At 34.6% G+C, this 6858-nt stretch overlaps 1 annotated feature.

The window, feature by feature from the left end:
* Positions 5379 to 5992: an enhancer, noted in NCBI's record as "NANOG hESC enhancer chr7:112828377-112828990 (GRCh37/hg19 assembly coordinates)". NCBI's record gives its function as "activates a minimal SCP1, AML or CMV promoter by ChIP-STARR-seq in naive H9 embryonic stem cells {active_cell/tissue: H9 hESC(naive)}" and the evidence as "EXISTENCE:reporter gene assay evidence [ECO:0000049][PMID:30033119]".

Here is a 6858-nt window from a genome sequence, read left to right as displayed (position 1 = left end):
ATTGGCCTGGGTAAAGATGTCTTGAGCAATACCCCATAAGCACCGTCAACCAAAGCAAAAAAATGGACAAATGGAAAGACATCAAGTTAAAAAGCTTCTGCACAGCAAAGCATACAATCAAAAAAGTGAAGAGCCAACCACAGAATGGGAGAAAATATTTGCAAACTACACCTCTAACAAGAGATTATTAACCAAAATATATAAGGAGCTCAAACAATTCTAGGAAAAAAAATCTAATACTCCAGTCAAAATAGTGACAAAAGATTTGAATAGGCATTTCTCAAAAGAAGACATATAAATGACAAACTGGCATATGAAAAGGTGCTCAACATCTTTGATCATCAGAGAAATGCAAATCAAAAGTACAATGAGATATCATCTCACCTTAGTTAAAATGCCTTATATCCAAAAGGCAGACAATAACAAATGCTGTCGAGGATGTGGAGAAAAGGGGACTTTTGTACACTGCTGATGGGACTGTACAACCACTATGGAGAACAGTTTGGAGGTTCCTCAAAAAACTACAAATTAAGCTGCCATATGATCCAGCAATCTCATTTCTGGGTATGTACCAAAAAGAAAGGAAATCAGTATATCGATGAGATGTTGGCACTCCTGTGTTTGTTGCAGCATTGTTTACAATAGCTAAGATTTGGAAGCAACCCAAGTGTCCATAAACAAATGGATAAAGCAAATGTGATACATGTATACAATTGAGTACGAATTCAGTCATAAAAAAGAATGAGATCCAGTTATTTGCAACAAAATGGATAGAACTGGAAATCATTATGTTAAGTGAAATAAGCCAGGCACAGAAAGGCAAACTGCGTATTCTCACTTATTTGAGGGATCTAAAAATCAAAACAATTGAATTCATGGACATAGTAAGTAGAAGAATGGTTACCCGAGGCTGGGAAAAGTAGTGAGGGGCTGAGGGTATGTGGGGATGGTTAATGGGTTCAAAGAAATAGAAAGAATAAGACCTACTATTTGATAGCACAAGAAGATGCCTATAGTCAATAATAACTTAATTGTACATTTTAAAATAACTTAAATAGTGTAATTGAATTGTTTGTAACTCTGAAGGATAAATGCTTGAGGGGATGGATATTCCATTTTTCATAATGTGCTTATTTCACATTGCATGCCTGTATCAGACCATCTCATACACCACATAAATATATACACCTACTATGTACCCACAAAGTTTTTTAACAAAGTAAAATAAATAAATTATTCACATTTTAAATTAGCTTAAATAAATAAATTTTAGAATGTTTTTCTTTTTTTATAAAGAATATCATTGATATTTTGATATGGATTGCATTGAATATGTAAATTGATTTGGATAGTATTGTCATTTTAGCAATATTAATTATTTTAATACATGATTATGGAATATCTTTTTATTTTTTGTGTGTCTTCTTCTATTTCATCAGTTTTATAGTTTTTATTGTGTAGATCTTTTACTTCTGCAGTTAGATTGATTCCTGGGTATTTTATATTTTTGTAGCTATTGTAAATGGGATTGTTTTCCTCATTTCTTTTTCAGATTATTTGATGTTGACATATATAAATGCTACTTATTTTTATATGTTAATTTTGTATCCTGCAACTTTATTGAATTCCTTTATCAGTTCTAATAGCTGTTTGGTGGAGTCTTAAGGTTTTTCTAAGTATAATATGATCATGCTGTCTGTGAACAAGGCTAATTTGACTTTTTTTCCAGTTTGGATGTCCTTTATTTCTTTCTCTTACCTAATTACTCTGGCTAGGACTTTTCAGTATTGTATTGAATAATAGTGGTAAAAGTGGGCATCCTTGTCTTGTTCTAGTCTTTAGAGAAAAGGCCTTCAATTTTTCCGTTTAGTACAATGGTAGACACGGGTTTGTCATATATGGCCCTTATTATTTTGGGGCATGTTCCTCCTATACCTGTTTGATGAGAGATTTCATCATAAAGGGATGCTGAATTTCATCATATGCTCTTTTCACATCTATTGAAATAATCATATGTTTTTTTTCTTGTTTCTGGTAATGTGATATATCACACTTATTGATTTGCTTATGTTAAACTGTCCTTGCATCTCTGGGATGAATCCCACTTGACCATGGTTGTTGAATTCAGTTTGTTAGTATTTTGTTGAGGATTTTTAACATTTCATATATTTATATTTGTATATATTTCTATTTTTTATATATTTATACATTTTATATATTTTTATATTTGTCAGTAATATTGGCCTGTAGCTTTCTCTGTTCTGTTGTGTCCTTGCCTGATTTTGGTATGAGGGTAATACTGGCCTTGCAGAATGAGTTTGGAAGTATTCCCTTTTCTAATTTTTTTGAAGAGTTTGAGTAGGATTGGTAATAACTCTTTAAATGTTTGGTAGGATTCAGAAGTGAATCCATGATGTCCTGGGCTTTTCTTTGATGGGAGGCTTTTTATTAATGCTTCAGTCTCATTACTTGTTGTTGGTTTGTTGGGGCTATTTCTTCATAGTTTAATCTTGGTAGACTGTATGTGTCCAGGAATTTACCCATTTATTCTGTTTTCCAATGTGTTGTCATATAGTTGTTCATAATAGTCTCTAATGATTCAGTGTTTTTTTTTTTGATATTTCAATTATGTTTTCTTTCTTATTTCTAATTGTATTTATTTGAGTTTTTTCTCTTTTTTCTTAAGTAATCTAGCTGAAGGTTTGTCCATTTTATCTTCAAAAAAACAACTTTTTGATGATCTTCTCTATTTTTTAGTCTCAATTTCATTTATTTCTGCTCTGATCTTTATTATTTCTTTCTTTCTACTAATTTGGGGTTTGGTTTGTTCTTGCTCTTCTGGATCTTTGAGGTGCATCATTAGGTTGTTTACTTGAAGTCTTTCTACTTTTCTTACATGAGACTTTATTGCTATAAGGTTCCCTCTTAGTACTGCTTTTGCTGTATCCCATAGATTTTGGTATGTTGTATTTCCATTTTTATTTGTTTCAAAAATTTGTTAAATTTACTTCTTAATTTCCTTATTGACCCATTGGTCATTCAGGAGCATGTTGTTTAATTTCCATGTGTTTGTGTATTTTCTGAGGCTCCTCTTGTTACTGATTTCTAGTTTTACTCCTTTGTGGTCAGAAAAGATACTTGAAGCTGGGCACAGTGGCTCACACCTGTAATTCTAGCATTTTGGTGGCCAAGGTGGGTGGATCACCTGAGGTCAGGAGTTCAAGACCAGTCTGATCAACATGGGAAACCTCGTCTCTACTAAAAACCCAAAAATTAGCTGGGTATTGTGGTACATGCCTGAAATCCCAGCCACTCGGGAGACTGAGGCAGGAGAATCGCTGGAACCCTGGAGGCGGAGGTTGCAGTGAGCCAAGACTGCACCACTGCACGCCAGCCTGGGTGCAGAGAAAGACTCCATCTCAAAAAAGAAAATAAAAAATTTAAAAAAAGAAAAGATACTTGATATAATTTCTGTTGTGGTGAAATTTGTGCAGACTTGTTTTGTGGATTGAGACATGGTTTATTCTGGAGAATGTCTCATGTGCTGATGAAAAGAACATGTATGCTGCAGCACTGGGTGAAATGTTCTATAAATGTCAATTAGGCCTATTAGATCTAGTGTGTAGTTTAACTCCACTATTCCTTGGTTGATTTGCTGTCTAGATTGAGAGTTGGGTATTAAAGTTCCCTACTATTATTCTATTGCAGTCTATCTCTCCGTTTAGATCTACTAATGTTTGCATTACATACTTGGGAGCTCTGCTGTTGGGTGCATAAAATATTTATAATTGTTATATCCTCCTGCTGAATTGATTCCTTAATTATTATATGGAAACCTCCCTTGTCTTTTTTTTTTTTTTTTACAGTCTTTGGTTTGTAGTCTATTTTATCTGATATATCTTCTGCTCTTTTTTGCTTTCCAATTGCATGCAATATATTTTTCTACCCCTTTCAGTCTATTGAGTCTTTATAGGTTAAGTAGGTTTCTTGGATCTTGTTTCCTTACACATTCAGCTACTGCACAACTTTTACTTGGAGAATTGAGACCATTTACATTTAGTGTTATTATTGATGAGTAAAGACTTGGTACTGCCATTATGCTGCCATTTTTCTGGTTGTTTTGAGACTCTTGTCTTCCTTTCTTAGTGTCTTCCTTTGTGGTTAAGTGATTATATATAGTAGTATGTTCTAATGTGTTGCTTTTTATTTTTACACTTTTTAACTTTAATCCTTTATTGTTAAATATGGGAGAATATGTATGATTTTATAATAACTCTTGTTTGGCTAATGTAAACAGAGTACTCTCTCTGTATTTACTTTCTTGGAATTATAGATTAATAAGATTACAATACTTCATGCAAAAAAATGTTTAAAAGATATATGCTCTAGAAAGAAATTGGTGAGAAAATTTTTATATGAAGTAATCAATATAGCAATCTATGTATACAGAATCTTAAACATAGGTCATTCTCCATACTAATTATTTGTTAAGTTCCAGCATATATAATGTTCATAATATAATAACTGGCATGTGGTCCCTTTCGTCAAGAAGGCTATACTCTTAATATTTAAGATACATAGACAGTTAAAAAAAAAAAAAAAGCAGCTGTATTTTTATGTTTGGCATGCTTTGCCTCCAAAGCACAGGTTTGGGCCTGGAGTCCTCTACACATTTCCTTCTTGTATGCTTAGTCACAGGGTCCAAGCTTCCTCAGCAATACATTCCTCTTTGTTACATGTGCTAGAACTCTGGTTATATTGACCAGTAGCCACCCTGGTTTGTTTAGCTCAATAATCAATAATGGCCACAAAATAGAAGACCTTGTAATTTCAGGGAAATGATTATATACAGAAGCTGGAAGAACATGTGGGATTATTAAGAGTCTCTCAGACATAGGAAATCTAAACAGAACTTCTCTATGGCTTTTCACAGTTTCTAGTTTTTCTGTTTTCAATAGCAGAAGCAACTGGACTCACATTAAATTTTTGCAAACAAACTTTTTCTGTTTGAGATAGCAACAAAAACTCTGTCTAGGCACAAAATTACTAATGGCCACTATTTTCTTGTGTTCTTAGTCTTTAGGCTAGGGTTTCCTTTAGGCTAGAGGAAAAAAAGAGGAGTGGGCTAAAAAGCTGGGAAATGATGGTAACAATTAGCTGGCCAATATTAACGTAAATCATTATAGTAGTGGCATTATTACATAAACAACTGCTGGTCCTTATTAATTCAGAATAAGTACCTTGTAATAATTTTGTCATTTTTATATATGCAAAAGTTTGCATATGATTGTTAAAAATATATTTTTATAAATAGAATATACTGTCAAAACCCCAATCATTATGCCAAAGTCAACATGCTTGTGATACAAAGTCTTATTTAAATGAATTTGTATTTATCAAATTATGAATAACTGAAGAATGCACACTCTAATCTTATGACCCATTGTATTGCAAGGAAAAATGCATTGGACAGTTAAACAGGCAAGGAAGACTTTATTCATGACTATTGCAATAGGGGAGAAAGATTGAGCTCAACTCCACCGAAACAAAAACGAGAGTGTTTAAGCGCTGGGGTGAGTTAGTGGAAAAGTACTGGAAGACATTGAAGAGGAGAGGTTGTCAATGTGATTAGACCATCTTTGCTAATTGGTGATTATGGAAATTAGCCTCCTTTCCCCACACAGAGTAGGAGACAGGGGCTCTATCTTCCTTGATGATTGCATTTCAAAGAGATGGCTCCTTGAGAAACATTTCTCGGTTCTAAAACTGGCAAGAGACTGGGGGAAGATTACATCTCAAAGGAACTGAGAAGGTATTTACAAATGCAAGTTTTCTAAAGTAAATGCTCCAAGAAAAGGGAGGTCAGGGGCCTACAGTCAGGAAGAAACATGTCTAAAGTTTAGTCAAGTGAGGGGAATGTTAAAGCCTTCTTGGTCAGTAGACAGAAATAGGAATCTGGAAAAATAAGCTGCAAATTGGGATGCCACATGAAGTAAATATTTGTGTAAAGCAAGGGCAACTTATAGATACTGTACATTAAAGTAATGGGTTGCTGTTGCAATTCTTTTATCAACAGCTCAGAAATTCTTTACAGCAATTTCTAAAAGATAGTTCAGGTGAAACTGTTGAAAGGGCAGTTGGAGGTCAAATTTGGTTCAACCAGAGACATAGAACAAGTAGGAGGTATATATTAAAGGAATTTTTGCAGGGGATTGGCTTATAGAAATGTAAGGGCCAACCAGGCAAGTCTGAAATCTATAGGGTAGGGTATCAGAAAAAGCAGGCTGAAAACTCTATGGCATGACCTGAAGCTGCAATACATAGGTAGAATTTCATCTTTTTTTAAATGTCTTAGTTCTATCTTAAGACCTTTCACTGACTGAGTCAGCCTACCCAGGTATCTAGGATAATTTCCCTTATGTAAAGTCAAATGATAGGCCAGATGTGGTGGTTCATGCCTGTAATCCTAGCACTTTCAGAGGCCAAGGCAGGCAGATTGCCTGAGCTCAGGAGCTCGAGACCACCCTGGGCAACATAGTGAAACCCTGTCTCTACTAAAATCCAAAAAAAAAATAGCCAGGAGTGGTGGCATGCACCTGTAGTCCCAGCTACTGGGGAGACTGAGGCACGAGAACTGCTTGAACCTGGGAGGCAGAGGTTGCAGTGAGTCGAGATGGCACCACCACACTCCAGCCTGGGTGACAGAGCGAGACACTGTCTCAAAAAAAAAAAAAAAGGTCAAATGATTATGAGAGTTAATCACAACTACAAAATACTTTCACAGCAACACCTAAACTAGTATTTGATTGAACAACTAGGGACCATAGCCTAGCCAAGTTAAGACAATATACTGATCAT

The sequence above is a fragment of the Homo sapiens genome, chromosome 7, assembly GCF_000001405.40.
Source record: "Homo sapiens chromosome 7, GRCh38.p14 Primary Assembly".
Lineage (NCBI taxonomy): Eukaryota > Metazoa > Chordata > Mammalia > Primates > Hominidae > Homo > Homo sapiens.
The sequence above is the reverse complement of the archived record's forward strand: the minus strand, read 5'-3'. Positions and strand labels throughout refer to the sequence as shown.